This window comes from Homo sapiens, chromosome 6 (genome assembly GCF_000001405.40).
Source record: "Homo sapiens chromosome 6, GRCh38.p14 Primary Assembly".
NCBI classification, from domain to species: Eukaryota; Metazoa; Chordata; class Mammalia; order Primates; family Hominidae; genus Homo; species Homo sapiens.
This window is the reverse complement of record NC_000006.12, coordinates 51,782,418-51,802,904: the sequence shown is the minus strand read 5'-3', so window position 1 is coordinate 51,802,904 and position 20,487 is coordinate 51,782,418. Positions and strand designations below refer to the sequence as shown.

The 20,487-nt window shown below is 37.1% G+C and overlaps 1 protein-coding gene across 22 annotated transcripts in view; it reads left to right on the top strand.

The window, feature by feature from the left end:
* PKHD1 (PKHD1 ciliary IPT domain containing fibrocystin/polyductin) overlaps positions 1–20,487 on the top strand; it is a 472,317-nt gene that overhangs the window by 284,711 nt on the left and 167,119 nt on the right. For 21 of the 22 annotated variants that reach the window (XR_001743469.2, XM_017010944.3, XM_017010945.3 and 18 more), the window contains one exon: positions 11,532–11,669. The exons of the other annotated variant lie outside the window; for it this stretch is intronic. Coding sequence is in view for 20 of the 21 variants with exons in the window: in XM_017010944.3 (XP_016866433.1) it covers positions 11,532–11,669 (138 nt within the window). In the remaining variant the exon portion in view is untranslated. The remainder of the gene's footprint in view (positions 1–11,531; positions 11,670–20,487) is intronic. 22 annotated transcript variants of the gene reach the window in all.

Below are 20,487 nucleotides of genomic sequence, written 5' to 3'. Positions count from 1 at the left end.
CAGAAGAAACAATTGAGAACTTAAGAAAAAAAGTCAATAATACCGAGGAAAATTAAAGAATCTCATAGTTTTTTGGATATATTGCCCTGTCTAGTGTCAAGCAGAGACAAAAAGAGAAGATTTATTTTCAAAAAAGACCTGATGGGGAGAAATAAACTTATTTGATACAATATTTGATATCTGGACCTTTGCCTAAACAGCACCGTTCAGGAGTGAATCACTTATTTCATAGATATTCATATTTTTCTATTCAGGGTAAAAGTACAAAATATATTTATTTACTAAAAGTTGATCATGTTATTATTCTTAAGGAAACAAATCAAAACAAAAACCCACATAGGAAAATAAGTTTGGCGCTTAGTTTGGCTTTAACACCAACTGTAACATGTAAAAATTTAATAATTGGATCACCTGAGAGTTGCCAGTTTATGCCTTTTCACATATTAAGCATTATTCACTACAGGATTGGAGAGGGATTTTATCTCCAAACCTCATGTTAGTTAGAATTCATTAACAATGTATACAGGTAATAGAATTATGTGGATAAAGCCAAACTGTAGTTTAACATCAGACCTAAAATTTATCAAAATGCATATTGTTCCTTTTTAGGTCTTCTGGGGATTGCAAGGTCTAGGTTTTTTGTTTGTTTGATTGTTGTTGTTGTTGTTTTTGCCTTGAGCCATCTGAGCAAGGTGACAACTATAGACCTTGGTTTAAATGGCAATGCCATGTCGTCCACTCTGATTTCTTTGAAGTCTGATGAAGAGAACAGTAGCATAGCACCGTCTCTAGATTTAAAACAATAATAATAAAGCCTGGGATGAGAGAAGGCACAGATTCTTTTCTATTTTTATGAAAACAGCAGCACCTTCTGGTATTCTCCTTTCAGAATTTGGGATGCAGAGGACTGATCTGATACAGTTGGTAATTTTACTTAAAAACCTTCCTATTAAATAGATTCAAAATATTTCTGAAGAACAGATGGTATAGACTAGAGGAAGAAATAAACATTGTATGTTAAACATTTTATTGATCAATTAAAATATCATAATTTAAAATGTTTATTCTACTATGGGAATTATGCATGTCTGTGTGTGATTGAAAAAGACACAGAAAGAATGTGGGGAGTGGGATGGGGATTTATTGTCCAAAGTTTAAATGGGACTCTTCTCATGAGGTGAGAGTGAGAAGAGCTATTTTTCTCTCCTCCCCTTCCATCCTGTCTCTCTCTCTCTCTCTCTCTCTCTCTCACACACACACACACAATCAGGCCAGCAGATGGTTTTTCTTCAGGGTGTCAGGAAACTGGCTTTTAGTCTTGAATCGTGTGCCTCTGGGCACTTTGAAACTGCCTCTTCTGCCTATTTTTAAGACCAGTTTGAAAAAAAATGATGGGCAGAGTAGAATAAAGAAACCACCTGTGTGGATTTGATGAAAAAGGCAGACTATAAAGCTAGCACTTCTTTGAAAAGAGTTTAGTTATAGAAAGACTGCATCCTTATCTTCTAGCACATCTCTGGTCAGCTTTTTCTACAAGAGAATGAACTCTAGAGAACTGAATACCATCATCTCAGTAAATTAGTCTACTTGACACTAATTTTCAATCATGTTCATCTTTCATCTCTGTGAACTATTTATGTATAAGAGTTTCCATTCTATTTTAGGAATACTTTTCTTGGATGTTATCATTCATCTTTATAAATTATGATAGACTATTTAAATAAATTGTTAGATGCCTCCAAAGTTAAACGAGACCACAAAAGAAAGAAAATATCACCAATCATTGTGTAAAATGTATATTTAAAGCAGTCACTTTGGAGCTAAAAATATTTTCTTTCTACAAAGGAAGATTAGATCATTTAATAGTGATTCAAATAGCTTTAAAATTTACTTTTCCTTTGGTTCACATATTTAATAGAAAACACAGGAGCCAAGGCTGAATGTAGAAAAAAAACCCATTAATTATGGAAGGTACAGGAAAATAACAAGCCCACAAATAGTCCTTGTATGTCCTGCTCTGCCTGGCATGCCATTGCTCTCCCTCAGAAGTCTGAGCTGTGTCCAAAGTCAGTACAGGCTGCTTTCCTGACAATAGCAGGGTTGTAATAGAAACTGTCTTACCACCTAAGTTATGGGGCCTGATACAGTGCATACCATACAAGCAGTGGGTCTGCCTGCCCTAAATTATGCCTGTTCATGTGACCCCATCATTATTCCCAGGATCTGTGCCCTTTGCCCTTGATCTCATTTCTACAGGATTTAGACAAGTGTCAGACCCTTGGAATGCTACACAATAGTGACCTTGATTCCCTACTTTGCTGGGAAAAAAAGTGAGTTTAAATCTAGCGTTCAACTTACATGGAATGCTTTGTAACTGTGGTAGTCAAATTGTTCTTGATACAAAAGAAGCCCCAGCCCTCTTTCAGAGACATCTGTCTTTCAGTCTGGCTCAGGTTTTCTGGTCTTGAGGCTAGTTAATGCATTTCTAATAAAACACTGAGTCTTTTTTGTTGTTGTTGTTGTTGCATTTGGTGCAGGGATAAATTCAGGGGTTTCTCCTTATTGTTAACTTTCCAGATATTATTTTTAAAGCTTTAGTGTTCTAATTGTAAAAATAGAACACTTTCAGGAAAAAAAGACCAAAAAGCCAAAACACTGCTTGGCAAAACACACTAGGATAAAGATGGTGGTGTTTAGTGCTTGATGGATGAACAAGTGGTTAAAGGGTGTAATTCGGAACCAAGAGGCACCACCCCATGGCTAGTCCTGAGCCCCTTTGGGGGGAAAAGCAGTCTTTAATTACATCTGGAACTCATTAATTCTTTTTGGAGCCTCTTTCCAGATCAGCTCCCCCATCAGCCACCCATTGAGCAACAGAAATTCCAGATGGTTCCCTCCATATGCCAGTGCTGATTCTCTCAAGTAGGATAGATTGGTCACTGACAGGATAGGGTGGAATATCTGTAGCCAAGGCAGGACACGGTGGAAAGCACTGGAACACACTTAAATTAGAGGTGGTCCATCACTTATATTATTAAGTAAGTTGTATAAATAACTATTTCTGAGTGATTGCTCTGAAATATCTTGAGTAATTTTATGGAAAGGATGTTAATTCTAGAGAATGTGGCACATAGATGCCAGCTTTCCACTCCTCAAAAGAGAGAAATCCTCTGCAAGTGTCATTGTAGCTGAGGATTTGTCAGTTTAGACCTGCAGATGATCTGCTCTGGAGGGTACGTTAGGGTGAATTCTTTTGCTCATGTAACTAGCTGAAATATTTATTATTGTGATACAAGGAGAATGCCTTTATAAAAATCTCTATATGGCATGTGCTTATTTTATTTTAGCAGAATTTTCTTATAATAGACACATTGATAGACTCCAGTTTGAAGCAGCTGGGAATAAAAACAGAGTCAACCTCCATGTAATTAAAAAGTATGTCATCATTTCAAGTATATCACATTATTTATTTGTATATATACCTGTTTTCATCTGATGGTGGGAAACATGACTTACTCATGTTTAAATTCCTACCACCTCAAAATTTGTCACATTATGGGAAAGGAAAGAAAGAAAGAAAGAAGAAAAAATGGAGAGATGAATCCAGGGAATTTCAAAGTGAAGAGTGTGGCACCAAAAGAAATAAGACTAATGTTTCTGTTATTGTCTTCATTCTATACTTTTCCTTAGATAACTATTGGAATTTATGTGTGTGTACACACGTGTGCTTGTGTGTGTGTGTGTGGTGTTAATTTTGACCATCTATTATGGGTTAAATATTATTCTTCTAGGTCCTGAGAAAATAAAAGTGAGAACATCAGCTGTGTTCCTGTTCTCAAGTGGTTATAATAGTCTGTCTGTGATTCATGGGAAATTTGTTGGTACATTTGGAGTTGGTAGGGCAATTGAAAGGGAAAATTTCTTCTGAAAGGGGTATAATTAAAACTTCATGTACTTGTCATATTTTAGCTGAGAAATACATCTAAAAGCACCTACTATCATACTTTTATGTGTATGTGTGAGTACTCTGTGGATGAGAGAAAGCATTAGTTCAACCAATTTTATTGTTTTGTACAATCAGGTTTAATAGCTGAATATTGGTTGAGTGTGCTATAGGTTGGAACAGATATAAACCAATTTGTATAAAACTCTTGCTTTGAGACAGGGAGAATGAAACCAATTTGGAAAACATATTTTAGGATATCGTCCAGGAAAACTTCCCCAACCTAGCTATGCAAGCCAACATTCAAATTCAGGAAATGCGGAGAACCCCAGTAAGGTACTCCATGAGAAGATCATTCCGTAGACACATACTCATCAAATTCTCCAAGGTCAAAATGGAGGCAAAAATGTTAAAGGCAACCAGAGAAAGGCTAGGTGACCTACAAAAGGAAGCCCATCAGACAAACAGCAGACCTCTTAATGGAAGCACTGTAAGCCAAAAGAGATTGGGGGTAGATATTCAACATTCTTAAAGAAAAGACATTCCAACACATAATTTCTTTTTCTTTCTTTCTTATTTTTTTTGAGATGGAGTCTTCCTCTGTACCCCAGGCTGGAGTACAGTGGTGTGATCTCGGTTCACTGCAACTCTGTCTCCTGGGTTCAAGCAATTCTTGTGCCTCAGCCTCCCAAGTAGCTGGGATTACAGGTATGCATCACCATGCCTGGCTAATTTTTGTATTTTTAGTAGAGACGAGGTTTTGCCATGTTGGCCAGGCTGGTCTTGAACTTCTAGCCTCAAGTGATCCACTTGCCTCAGCCTCCCAAAGTGCTGGAATTACAGGCACGAGCCACTGCACCTGGCCCCCAACCTAGAATTTCTTATCTGGACAAACTAAGCTTCATAACTGAAAGTGAAATAAGATCCTTTTCAGATAAGCAAATGCTGAGGGAATTTGGCACCACCAGATCTGCCTTACAAGAACTGAAGGAAGCCCTAAATATGAAAACAAAAAGCTGTTACCAGTCACTACAAAAACACACTGAAATACACAGACCAGTGACACTATGGAGCAACCACATAAACAAGTCTGCAAAATAACTAGCTAGCATCATGATGACAGGATCAAATACACACAATATCAATACTAGCATTAAATATAAATGGGCTAAATGCCCCAATTAAAAGACATAGAGTCTTTTAAAGCTGGATAAAGAACCAAGACCCATCAGTGTGCTGTCTTCAAGAGTCCTATCTCACATGCAAAGACACACATAGGTTCAAAATAAAGGAATGAAGAAAAATTTACCAAGCAAATGGAAAACAGAAAAAAAGCAGGGGTTGCAATCCTAGTTTCTGACAAAATGGACTTTAAACCAACAAAAATCAAATAAGACAGAGAAGGGCATTACATAATGGTAAAGGGTTCAATTCAACAAGAAGAGCTAACTATCCTAAATATATATGCACCCAATACTGTAGCACCCAGATTCATAAAGCAAGTTCTTAGAGACCTTCTAAGAGACTTAGATTCCCACACAATAATAGTGTGAGACTTTAACACCCCACTGACAATATTAGACAGATAATTTAGACACAAAATTAACAAAAATATTCAGGACCAGAACTCAACTCTGGATAAAGTGGGCCTGATAGATATCTATAGACCTCTCCACCAAAAAACAAAGGCATATACCTTGTTCTCATCACCACACAGCACTTACTTTAAAATTGATCATATAATTGGAAGTAAATCACTCTCAGCAAATGCAGAAGAACTGAAATAATAACAGTCTCTCATAGCACAGCACAATCAAATTAGAACTTAAGATTAAGAAATCTATTCAAGGCCAGGCACAGTGGCTCACAGCTGTCATCCCAGCACTTTGGGAGGCTGAGGTGGGTGGATTGCCTGAGTTCAGGAGTTCAAAACCATCCTGGGCAACACGGTGAAACCCTGTCTTTACTAAAAATACAAATATTAGCCAGGTATGGTGGAAGACACCTGTAATCCCAGCTACTCAGGAGCCTGAGGCAAGGGAATCCATTTGAATCCAGGAGGCTGCACTGAGCTGATATCACACCCCTGCACTCCAGCCTGGGTGACAGAGTGATGAGACTCTGTCTCCAAAAAAAAAAAAAAATCTATTCAAAACCACACAACACCATGGAAATGAACAACCTTCTCCTCCTGAATGACTCTTGAGTAAATAATGAAATTAAGGCAGAAATCAAAGAGTTATTTGAAACTCATGAGAACAAAGATACACCATACCAGAATATCTGGGACACAGCTAAAGCAGCATTAAGACAGAAATTTATAGCACTAAATGCCCACATCTAAAAGCTAGAAAGATCTCAAGTTAACAATCTAACATTACAACTAAAAGAACTAGAGAACCTAGAGCAAACAAACCTCAAAGCTAGCAGAAGACAAGAAATAACCAAGATCTGAGCTGAACTGAAGGACATAGAGACATGAAAAGCCTTCAAAAAATCAACAAATCTAGGATTTTTTTGAAAAAAAAACTAATTAAATAGACTGCTAGCTAGATTAATAAAGAAGAAAGAGAAGATTGAAATAAACACAATCAGAAACAACAAGGGGGATATTACCACTGACCCCAGAGAAACACAAACAACCCTCAGGGAATATTATAAACACCTCTTGCACATAAAGTAGAAAATTTGGGAGAAATGGATAAATTCCTGGACACATGCACCCTCCCAAGACTGAACGAGGAAGAATTGAATCCCTGAATAGATTAATAATGAGTTCTGAAAATGGGGCAGTAATAAGTAGCCTACCAACCAAAGAAAGCCCAGGACCAGGTGAATTCACAGCTGAATTCTACCAGAGTTACAAGGAAGAGCTGGTACTATTCCTACTGAAACTATTCCAAGAATTAAAAAGGAAGGACTCCTCCCTATCTCATTTTATGAGGTCAGCATCATCCTGATACTAAAACCTGACAATAAGACAAATTCGGGTCAATATTATTGATGAACACCAATGCAAAAGTTCTCAACAAAATGCTGGCAAACTGAATACAGCAGCACATCAAAAAGTTTATCCAGCATGATCAAGTAGTCTTCGTCCCTGGAATGCAAGGTTGGTTTAATGTATGCAAATCAGTAAATGTGATTCACTACACAAACAGAACTAAAGACCAAAACCACATGATTATCTCAACAGATGCAGAAAAGCCCTTTGATAAATTCAACATACATTCAAATTAAAAACTCAATAAATTATTGAAGAAATATACCTCAAAATAATAAAAGCTATATATGACAAACTCATAGCCAATATTCTATTGAATGGGCAAAAGCCAGAAGCACTCCCCTTGAAAACTGTCACAAGACAAGGATGCCCTTTGTCACCACTCCCATTCAACATAGTATTGGAAGTTCTGGCCAGGGCAATTAGGCAAGAGATGGAAATAAAGCATATTTAACTAGGAGGAGAGGAAGTCAAACTATCTTTGTTTGCAGATGAAATGATCCTATAGCTTGAAAACCCTATTGTTTCAGCCCAAAAGCTTCTTAAGCTGATAAGCAACTTCAGCAAAATCTCAGGATACAAAATCAATGTGCAAAAATCTCTAGCATTTCCATACACTAACAATAGACAAGCCAAGAGCCAACTCGCAAATGAACTCCCATTCACAATTGCCACAAGAAGAGTAAAATACCTGTGAATACAGCTAACAAGGGAAGTGAACAGTTCTCCTTAAGGAGAACTTCAAACCACTGCTCAAAGAAATCAGAGATGACACAAACAAATGGAAAAATATTCCATGCTCATGGATAGGAAGAATCAGTATCATGAAAATGGCCATACTATCTAAAGCAATTTATAGATTCATTGCTATTCCCCTTAAACTACCATTAAGATTCTTCACAGAATTAGTAAAAACTATTTCAAACTTCATATAAAACCAAACAAGAGCCCGAATAGCCAAGGCAATCCTAAGCAAAAAGAGAAAAGCTAGAGGCATCATGTGACCCAACTTTATACCGCAGGGCTACAGTAACCAAACAGCATAACCAAACAGCATGGTACTGGTACAAGAACAGACACATAGACCAATGGAACAGAAAGAGAAGGCATAAATAAGACTGCACACCTACAACCATCTCATCTTTGACAAACCTCAAAAAACAAGCAGTGGGGGAAGAATATTCTGTTTAATAAATGATGCTGGGAGAATTGGCTAGCCATATGCAGAAAAACTGAAACTAGGCCCCTTCCTTAAGCCATATACAAAAATCAACTCAAGATGGAATAAAGACTTAAATGTAAAGCTCACAACCATAAAAACCCTGGAAGAAAATTTAGGCAATACCATTCAGGACAAAGGCACAGGTGAAGATTTCATGATGAAGATGCCAAAAGCCATTGCAACAAAAGCAAAAATTGACAAATGGGATATAATTAAACTAAAGAGCTTCTGCACAGCAAAAGAAACTATCATCAGGGTAATCAAGCTACAGAATGAGAGAAAAATTTTGCAATCTATGCATCTGACAAACGTCTAATATCCAGCATCTATAAGGATCTTAAATTTACAAGAAAAAACAACCCCATTAAAAAGTGGGCAAAGAACATGAACAGATGCCTCTCAAAAGAAGACATACACGCAGCCAACAGACATATGAAAAAAAGCTTAACATCACTGATCATTAGAGAAATGCAAATCAAAACCATAATGAGATATCATCTCATACCAGTCAGAATGGCTATTATTAAAAAGTCAAAAAAGGCGCGGTGGCGGACACCTGTAGTCCCAGCTACTCGGGAGGCTGAGGCAGAAGAATGGTGTGAACCCGGGAGGCAGAGCTTGCAGTGAGCCGAGATCACGCCACTGCACGACAGAGTGAGACTCCATCTCAAAAAAAAAAAAAAAAAAAGTCAAAAAGCAACAGATGCTGGTAAGGTTGTGGAGCAAAAGGAATGCTTTTACACTATTGGTAGGAGTGTAAATTAGTTCAATCATTGTGGAAGACAGTGTGGCGATTCCTCAAAGACCTAGAGGCAGAAATACCATTCGACCCAGCAATCCCATTACTGGGTATACAACCAAAGGAATAGAAACCATTCTGTTTTAAAGACACATGCACGCATACGTTCATTGCAGCACTATTCACAATAGCAAAGACATGAAATAAACTTAAATGTCCATCAATGATAGACTGGATACAGAAAATGTGGTACATAGATACAATGGAATACTATGCAGCCATAAAAAGGAATGAGAATTATCTCATTTGTCCTTTGCAGGGATATGGATGGAGCTGGAGGCCATTATCCTTAGCAACCTAACACGGGAACAGAAAACAAAATACCACGTGTTCTTGCTTGTAAGTGGGAGCTAAGTGATGAGAACACATGGACACAAGGCAGGGAACAACACACACTGGGGTCTGTCAGAGGGCAGGTGGTGGGAGGAGGAAGAGGATCAGGAAGAATAGCTAATTGATGCTGGGTTTAATACCTTAGTGATGGGATGATCTGTGCAGCAGGCCACCGTGGCACAAGTTTACCTGTGTTAACAAACCTGCATATCCTGCTCATGTATCCCTGAATTTAAAATAAAAGATGAAAATAAAATAAATAAGTAAATAAATTGGAGGCAAAACCCTCTTGTTTTTACAAATTTTGCTTCAAATAATTCTTAAAGTCATGAACCCATAAAATGTGTGCTAAACCTAGAACATTCTCTAGGTACTTCACTCTTTTATTTGAATATTTTGAAAAGTGCTAGAGATGAGATTAAGATATATATTTATTTTTGTCTGTTTAGCTTGATCATTCATTTTGTACCAGTCATCAATGAGCTCTTGAATTTAAGGTATGTAGGGGATTAAACTCAACAGATCTGGACGACATTTATTTAGTGTCTTTATCTTCAGTATTGCAAAAACACTAGGGATTTAAAAAGAAAAAGAATGATCTCTTCACTTAAGGAAGTCAGAGTGGGAGAGGAAGTCATAATCACACTGAGGACCAGCCCAGTGACAGTTACTTCCTCACGTACAATAATGTATGTATATAATTTGAATAATGTGTCTCAGTACTCTGATAGATGTATGTACAGGGTGTCACTGGAGTGTAAAAGAGAGAGGTTGTTTCCCCAGGGAGAGTGGTGGAGCCAGTGAGGAGAGAGAATAGCTTGCTAGCAGAACTAATGCTTGCTTTGCATCCTGATGGGATAGGACCATACTTTGAGAACCACTGCTCTACATCTAACTGAGAGAAAAGGGGAGGGAAAAGGCATACAGAATTTATGGAACAGGCCTAGAGATGTCATACTTTAATTTTTCCCACATTTTATTGGCTACAACTCAGTCACATGGCTTCATCAACCTGCAAAGGAGGTGGAAACTGTAGTCTAACTGTGAACTTAGGAAAACAAGAGAAATGGTTGGTTTACAACCCTATAGTCTCTGCCACAGGAGGGCATGGCCATTCTTATAATGCAGGAAGCAGGGAGGGGCTAGGAAAGACAACTCATGACAAGTTAATTTGCTTGGGCATGTCCTTAAGAAGAGCAAGTGCATTGTTTCCTAGAATGAGAGATGAGATTATACTAACAAAAGAATTCCTTATAAATCTTTACATGTGTTGGTGATTATGGTACTAGAAATTTAAGCAAAAATCTTTATTTGATGTCATTTATAGTGTTGAATTACTGCTAAATTTCAGAAAGTAACACTTAATGCTTTGGCATACATGAAATACTTATTGTTTTAAATGAAAATGTTGTGTTTATATATTACTCTATAGTAAATCTCAGGCAACAGCTATGATTATTTCTTCTGAAGTTATATGAAGACTGCTTTTATGAAAGGGGAAATAAAATATAATGATTTTAAATTGTCCAGTAAGCACTATAAGCATGGGAAGCTAAGGGACAACAGTAAAAATAATAACATCAAGCGTTTATTAAGCATGCACCATGTACTTTACCTTACACAATGGGACTTAGGGAATTAGAGATAGCTTACTAACATTGTATAACCACTTTCAATCTATTAACTCAATTAAATGAGTTAACCCTCACAAAAAGTCCTGTGAACGAAACAGTTGTTTTTAGTATTATTCCCATTCCACAGATGAGATAACCGAGGCACAGAGAGATAAAGTTATTTGCCTAGACAGCTAGTAAGTAGCAGAATTGGTATTCACATCCAAATAGTCTTCCCTCAGAGGCCAATGTCATGTCTACTGTTCTGTACATCCCTGAAACTAGAGCCAAAAGTGAAGAGACAGGACAAAGGGTAGGGAGCTCATTCGATCTGTGTGTTTCCACTGCACTAGACTTGGGGCAGCTGTTTGGTGCATAAGCAGTGCATTTTGTCCATGAATGTGGTATGTTAAGCAATTGCAGCATTTATCAATCAGAACTTATTTTCCTGTTCAGTAAGTCCTAGCTTTTGGCAGACTATTTGTTCTTCCAGTTGCTATACCTGTCCTGGTTTAGATAACACTGTACACAGCTCCCAAACTGCTGGGAGAACCCCAGAATAAACACGTAATTCTTGTTTTTGTGACATATCTGAGCAATTTCTTTTTCTTCCACAGACAGAACTGTCCTTGTGGATACAGATCTTCCATTCTTCAAAGGGCTGTATGTGATGGGGACCTTAGACTTCCCTGTGGACAGAAGCAATGTTCTGAGTGTGGCATGCATGGTCATTGCAGGCGGGGAGCTGAAAGTTGGTGAGTAAAGGCACAAGGATTGCGAGCATGTTGAGAATTATATTCTGTGAGAAGGGGCTCTGGGAAACAGATGGTATCATCAAGCAGGTTGCTTAACAGAGTTTAGGGAGGGTTAAGGTAGTAGTGAGTGCACCAGTAAAGTTGCTCTTCGGCAAGCTTTACATGTGGTCAGAGGTGGCTTGTATTGGTCATTCTTTCATGCCCGTGTACTATCAGGCTGTTTCTGGTCCGCCTGCTACTGCTCATTCCAGGGTGATTTTTTACCTCCTCCAGGCTACAGATCAATTCTTCCTTTAGGTTTTCTTTGTGTCAGAATATGCCTTTAACTCGCTCTTTCAGAAGATATCATAGGATGGATTTGATATCATCTGATCAACTAACTCACAATAAAATTTCAATTGTTGTCTTAACATAATTTCCTGGGAAAACAGACTTGAAAGCAAAGCTATGTGCTAGCACTTTACTGGGACAAATAATCCCAAAGATGTGTGAGTGAAGGGAAAAGAAAAGTGAGGAGGAAAGGGAGGGAAAGCAAATACAAGGTAGCCACAGCTTCTCAAAGAAGCATGCTTGGTTTGCTTGGTTATGTGGGATATCTTGAGAGAAGCCTTATTAGAACCACCATATCTTGGGACAATATGGAAGAGGTAGTGAGGAGAAGGCAAGCATCTCACCTGGCCCATTCCATGCCATTAACTCCTCTGACTTTGTTATTTTTGTGGCTCCCTGGGTAGCTAGTGGAAGGACCAGAGAATCAGTAGGTGCTCGGAGATGAGGCTCCTCTTGCTGGGAAGTGGATCATGTTGTTGAGGCCACAGGACAGGCAGAATGGAATGGATCTAGGGTAGTGTATTAACCAGATTTGGCTTACTTAAATAAAAAAACCTGAAATGTTATGGGTAGACTATATACTTAGAACTGTTGTAAGCAATAGGTATAAATGCTGAAAAGACATGTACCCTGTCTCCAAAGGAACTAATTTAGAACTTTAGTAAGGCATTTTACTTTGCCCCAGGAAGAAGATTGAAAGAGAATGCCCAGAAAAAAATCATATCTTATTCCAAAGAAATATATCTCTGGTGGTAAGGAAATATTTAGATATCCTTGTTAGGTAGCATGAAAATTTTAGAATCTCAGTTGGGAGAAAATTCTAGGTCTAATTACCTGAACAAAGGTTAAGTTACTGTAAAAATATTTCTGAAAAAATATGGTCAATCCTTTTCTTGAATACTTCCAGTGACAAAAAAATCAAAACCTTTCAAGGCAACCTGTTCCCATTGTTTAAAATCCTATTAGAATTCTTTTTGTTCTATTAAGCTAAAATCTATCTTCCTCTAATTTCTATAGGTTCAGGCTCTTCCCCTTGAGCCATTCAGGACAAGTATCTTACTCCTTTTAATTCTATAGCCCTTCATTCACATCTTTTTGAATCTTTTCTGTTTTAGGTCATACAGTTTATAACCATGGTTCATAGTTATTGCTGTTTTAAGTATTTCTTTTTAGTCTATGGTACAAAACTGCAAACACAGAAAAACAAAGAGAATTATGTGGTGGAAATGAAGTGATCACTCAAAGTTTCCAAGTGCAAATATTTCCAAGTGCAAATATAACCACAATTAATATTTTGGTGTTTTATCTCAAAGTCATTTTTTTTCTTACACATACATACACATGCACACATGTATTTCAAAATGTAGGGTACATACTTTGATTTTTTTGATCCTGTATAAACAATGTAAGAATTTCCACAACTCATTATATTTCAAAGGCCCAACTTCAATAATTTCAACATTATATAATATATGGGAATATATAGATATACATGTATATATAATAATTTAGCCATGTTTCTATTGTTAAGCACCTAAGTTATTTCAGATTTTTGTCCTTGTAACTCACTCTGCAATGAACATTCAATAATTAAATCATTATTCATATCTTCATTTCCTTAGGATGGGCTTTTAAAAATGAAATTAATGGGCCTAAGGATAAGAACATATTTTAAGATTTTTAATACATGCTGCCAAATTGCTTTTCAGAAAAATTTTACAAATTTGTACACCCCATTTCCCATAGTTATGAGATTCCCTCTTTCTTATTGGCATTGCCTCTAAACACAACTTTGTTTTGTTTAATTCCTCTGAAAGCCAGGGAGAAAGAACTATTCCCAGGTGGGATCTGACTATTCTGAACAGAGTGAGATGAGTATAGCAGTTAACAGAATGGGCTCTAAGTCAGATGTTGGGGGTCCAAATCCACCTTGGCCACCTGTTGGCTGTTTGACCTTAAGCAAGTCAACCTCTGGGCACCTTCATTTCTTCATCTGCAACATATGTGGGATAAGAGTAGAACCTTCTTCAGAGGGATATTAAACATAACTCATAGGAAGTGCTTGGTATGTAGTAGGTGTTCAATAAATGTTTATCAGCCAGGGTGCCCACAGAAAATATATGTCATATGCATTAGACAGTTTGAAGGGATTTAAATAAAGAAATGATTTACAAAGATCCAAATGGGATGAGGTATACCCTAGGGCTCATAAAGCCAGTTATCCTTACTACCTCTTGCCATAAAGGATTGAGAAAAGAATGTTATAGGAACCCAGAGATAAAGAGGGAGGTTTAGAGATGGTTGTCAGACCATCCCAGAGGCATGGCCTTTGTATGGCTGGGATTTAACCAGTACATGGAAGGAACTATAGGAATAAACACTCTTACCTCATTCTTTTGTTTCCCTCCTGTCTTCTGCTTGTGCTACCATTTGGCCACATCCGACTGGAAGTCAGAATAAAGGAGAAGTCAGAATAAAGGAGAACTCCTTGATGCAGTACACATAGGTCAGCCACATCCTGGGGCACTGGGTAGGGTGGAGAAGCACAGAGTTTGGAAATGGAGGTGTCAACAGAAGCTCTCCAGCATAGTCAGCCTCCAGCTATCAGAACAGATATGATTCTTCTGTTAATACAGTCAAATATTAAACTAACTTCTTTTTCCAGCCAGGTCATGCCATTAGTCCTGCCAACTACACTGTCAGCTCTAATTCCTGCTCTTTATATTTGTGCTGCCACAAATACATATCTCTACATTGTACAGTTGTATTGGGCTGATTTTGCTTTCCCTTGGGTTTTGAGGGAATCTAAGGGCAATACTTTTTACCTATCCCTTCATTTAATTATTTCAGTTCATCTTTCTACACTGCAGATATTCTCTTGAAGTCTGGTCTTTTCCTCACAGATTACTGCCATTTGCCCATTTGTTTACTATTCTGTAAAATCCTCATCCAATTAATTGAGAGATATTAAATACAGTTGAGCCCTGTTCTTGTTACTACAAAACTTATTTCCAGTTGATATCTTTTATTGCTAAGATTGATCTCTTTTTTCAGTAAGTTACATTTAGATTTCTAAGGTCACTCATTACTATAATATATAGCTTGCTGACTGAAAAATTTGTACCTTTGAAGGTAAGTGACACTGTGCCACTTTCCAGTTTTACTTTATATATTTCAGGTCTCATTTAAAAATTTCTCCATTCCCAATTCTATTTTCTACCCATCACTGGATAGTGGTGTATTCTTTTTCTCTTTGTTTCATCCATGTGTTCCAGGCCTAAAGGTAGGTTATTGGAACCCATCTGCCCAATGCTATGTGTATTGTGCCTGAAGGAAGACTTTCAACCCATCTGTCCAATTTTACCACATCCTAAAGAAATCCCAACATGAAACAGATAATAAGACTAGTTAGTAAACAAACTTAATAGATTTGGACATTGGCACAGAGTGCTGCCAGAGTATGCCTGCTATCTGATGCCATTTGATCCAAGTCCCAACATTGTGGAATTATATTTTTTGGTGATCCTGCTTTTTTTTTTTTTTCTTGAGATGGAGTTTTGCTCTTATTGCCCAGGCTGGAGTGCAGTGGCGCCATCTCAGCTCATTGCAACCTCTGCCTTCCAGTTTTAAGTAATTCTCCTGCCTCAGCCTCCCAAGTAGCTGGGATTATAGCTGCTCGCCACCATGCCTGGCTAATTTTTGTAGTTTTATTAGAGACAGGGTTTCACCATGTTGGCCAGGCTGGTCTTGAACTCCTGAACTCGTGATCCGCCTGCCTTGGCCTCCCAAAGTGCTGGGATTATAGGCATGAGCCACCATGCCCAGCCGGTGGTCCTGCTTGTAAGGCAACTGGTGCTGGCAAGGGTATCAATGGACTTTTAATAGAGTTGAATCATAGAATGCTAGAATTAGAAAGGAAGCTCAAGATCAAAGCTTTGCTTAGAGGGCCATAGCTGCATCACAAATGCCAAACTCAATTTCATTCTTCGTTCAGTGCTTGTCTCATTAGTCTGATAAAACAGTTAAGATAAGCTTAAAGAATTTCACATGTGTGTCCATTCTTTCATTTAACATGGGTTTACTCAGCGTCTGCCATGTGCCAAGTACCATGGGGGATACTGGGCATATAGAAACAGAAATCATGAACCTGAACTTTCAAGAGGTGTCTCAATAAAATAGTGTGACAAATGAGTAAAAACATGATTGGAAGGATCATGTCTTCCAACCTAGAGGGAGCTTAAAGATAAAGGAAGAGATGTGAACAGGTACATATTTTAGATGAGCATTATACTTTTAGGAAACTGTAGGGGATGGGTATGTCTGGATTGTAGGCTTTGTATGAAATGGTGGTAGTAGATGAAGCACCTTGACCTGATATACTATGCCAAGGAGTTTGGATTTTCCTATGAAGGCAGTGGGTAGTCACTGGATAGTTTTAAGCAAGGAAGTGACATGATTATATTTATTCTTAGAAAAATTAGTGCTGGAAGTGTAGAGAATGCACTTAAAAGGGACACAGTGAAAAGTGAGAAGCCTACTGAGATGTTTCAGGAAAGAAATCGTCAGGGAGTGAAGTAAGGTACAGGAGTTAAAGAGTAAAGAATTAATTAGAGAAGCATTGAGGAGGTAAAAATCACTAGAACCTAGTGAGAATTTTGATCTGAGGCAAGGAAGAGTTATTTGGGATATATCCAGGGTTTCGGGTTGGGAGATCTGGGCCAATGGGGATGCCAGGAATGAGTGCCCTTTCCATCCCTCATTAGTTGAATGGCCCTCGGCAAGTTATATGAACTAGCTGTGTCTCAGTACTCTTATCTCCAAAGTAGAAATAATAATAGTACGTATTTCATAGAGTTTTTAAAAAAGTAAATTAGTTAATGTTTATTAAAATGCTTGAACAATGTTGAGTATACAGTAAACTTTATACATTGGTTTGTTAAGTACCCAGACTCATAAATTTCAAAGTTAGATTTCAGTGAAAGATCTAAGTGATAATATCTAGAGAACAAGCAGATTTATGAATAAAGAAACCAGTGAGAGAGGTCTGCGCTAAATGTACATATTTGAGGATCATCAGCTCAAATGTGAAATTAAAAGTGTGAATAAAACTGGCCAAACAGATTTTGTGGATAGAAATTTTGAGGAGCGCAAGTCTTTGAAGGGTGGTAGAGGAAGCTGAGTTCAGGAAAAGAATGAAAAAGAAACAGTTATATAGGTGGAAAGAAAATGAAATGACAGGAAAATAATATCTTGAAACAAAAGAGGCAATTTACAAGAGGAAGTAGTCAGTAATATGAGATACAGTGGAAATGGCAAAGAAAATAGAAAAGAAAATTGGCCATCTTATTCCAGCTTTTTGTTTTTTATAATGGCTGATAAATACAGTTTTGACACAAATTATTACTTTTCATGTAAAACAAATAAAAATGCAACACTTACTGCTTCAGGAGCAATAACTTTTCATAAACTCAATACCATTTATCTATTCTTTAACAACTTCATTTTTTGGCTTTAGTATATAGCCTGAGGTGTCATTGAACATATTGAATTTCATGGTTGAAAATGAATAGTTGTCCATATTGAGTCATGGCATCAAACCTTTATAGGATTGCTTTCATGAATAACTGGTTTTCTTTTGGATGGTGAAATGAAATGAATAGATCGATACTAAGGAGAAAATAATTCCTCTGATATGGTGATTTTCCAAAGTTTCCTTTGTAGATTTGTCCCTTCCTCCTTTACCTCCTCCCACCTCCCTCTTTCATTGAATGCCAACTCAGTTTCAGGCATTCTTTCTGTCATTTGAATATTCCACAGTGAACAAGACATTCAGTAGTGAACAATTCCTGCTTGCATTATTTTATTGGGGGAAACAGACAATTAAATAGTAAAATAAATGAGGAAGATAAGTTTAGATGGTAATACATTCTCTGAAAGAAATTAAATAGGAAAAGTAATTAATGAGAGGTCCAGGTTGGATGCTGGCAACCATATGTTAGATAGTAAAGACCTTTCTAACAAGTCAATGTGACATCAGACTATAGAGACAAGAAAAAGCTAGACCTGCGAAGACTTGAACAATAGCATTTCAGGCTGAGGGAGAGCTAGTGCAAAGGTCCCGAGGGAGAAATGTGCTTTGTGTGGTAGTCGTGAGGCAGAAAGGCAGCCCCTGTAGCTAAAGAATAGTGAATAGTAGTGAGTTTATAGTGAACGTCATGAGTTTCATGGGCTAGATTTTGAGATATACAGTGTTGCTTTCTAAATGAGTCCAAATTATGCTGAGAATTGCTACTTATTGATAGTCTCTTGAGTATGGCTTTAACAAGACAGAAATTAGCTTCATAAATATGGAAATTCCAGAGACATGAATTGTGATTTTAGTTTAGTAACTCATTGTACAATTTCTGGAAAATTCCCCAATAGAAGATTCATAACTGTGATGTTGCAAATCTCTGTGATTGTTTGAAACGTCTGTCTCGTTTTATTGGTAAGGAAACTGAAATCCAGAGAGATAATTGATTTGTTTCAAGGTCTCAGAGCTGACAAAAAACAGGACCAGGACAAATGGCTGTTTTAGCTATCTTAAATATCATCCTTCAAGCCTTTGCCCAAGGACTACCTTTATTATTTAATGGCAAAAACCACAATTACTTTTGCACCAACCTATATGAAGCCTCTCCTGTCTCCATGCAGTAGATTTCAGTTACCTTTCCTTCTGATCCGTGCTACTCATTCATGTTGCCATTACTGCATTCGGTAATGATATGAATAGCATGTTTTAATTAGTGTCCTATCTCCATTATATGATAGACTTAATCAGAACATTTTATAACCCTAGTACCTACTGCATTATAGAATTCTGATAATATGCTGTTATGACTGACAATGTATATATAAGTGAATGGGCATGTTTAGGTTTGTCTTTCAGCTCACTGCCTTTTTCTTGGAAAACATTCAATCTCCTTACACTTAAATGTCTACATCTGTGAGGAAGAAATTATGGTGTTAATGTTTAAATGACTACAATATATTTATCCCCTATGTGAAAGGAAAAAAGGAGTTACAAAAACAAATTTAAAAAGTTGATGTGTTGTAGGATTCAAAGTATTTTCATTTTTACAATCTGTTAGAACAGGAAACTGACTTAAAAATGTCCCCCACTCAAAGCTTGTTCAATAAACATTTGTTTGTTATTTGATTTAAATGTTTTTTTAAACATATAAAAGCTTTGCCCATGAATAGCTGTCTGAGCCCATCCCTTTCATCAATGTCTCCTCTTATATGAGACATTGTTCTCATGCTTTAACAAATATGTTCCTTGTTGTTTTAGATATCAATGCTGTTAACTTGTTATTGACCCAAACAGTCAACTCAATAAAGACTGTTTTAATATTGTACTTTTAAAACTGCAAATGAAAAATCTTCTTTTAATATTTTTAGAAGGACTTCAGATAGGGGTTACCAATAATACATTTGTATTAATTATTAAAATAATATAAAATAAATATAGTATTTAAATATTATAAAATAATAAATTTATATAATTTTATAAAATTTATTTGTATTGTAAAAATACATTTTTGAAACACATATCCTAATGGATATTTAAAGTTTAATAGAAACCTCCTTGATCCCTAGTCAACAAGATATGCCCCAACCATTGGTATCCCTGGGGACACAGCAGTTCATTGTTTCTTTGGCCTGTCACAACCAGGTCACATGATGCACTGTCTAGTTGCTCAGTAATTATCCTAGGCACTCGGGCTTTTATCCTAAAACTTGTCACATATTGTTTTTCAGGGTCAGTGATGGGTATTTGTCAGCCCTGTCTCACATTTGTAGCCAGAAGCCTAAGGTCATCATTAGCACGTGCCTTTGATTGTCAGGAAACGAAGTACTAGGTATATGGAAGTTTCTTTCATTGCTTCCATGATTGGGACTTTCTCAATCCTAAAGAAGAAGAAAAATCCATACACAGTTTATTGCCTTTCAAACTGACAGTTCTGTAAGGCTCATTGGATGATTAAGTAATAAGAAGGAGACAAACCTGAGAAAAGCGTAGATTAAAACATATCCTCCAGCTTAAAGCCACAATACCCAGTAGTCAGACCCATTGAGCAGCCAGAGAGAATCTTGTATGTGATGTTCATTTAAAAAAATATACAAAGTTAAAAAAGTATGTCCTCCTTCAGATTTAACTATGATTAGAAAATGACACAAATACCCACATATGCAATGTGTATAATATAAGTGTACATAGATACCTGCAAAATAGATGGTTAGTTCAGTTTATTTAGATGCACAGTTCCCTAATCAAACTAACGGTTGTTTGATAAAATAAAAAGGTGACATAAAAGGGATGTGACTTTTGAAGCTGTTACTTATTTAACCATTTAACCATTTGCTCCATTTAACCAGGAGCAAAAGTGTAAAACCTTTGCCCCTTAGAGGTTCAGGAAACACTAAAACTCATTTCTGTGCTTGGAGA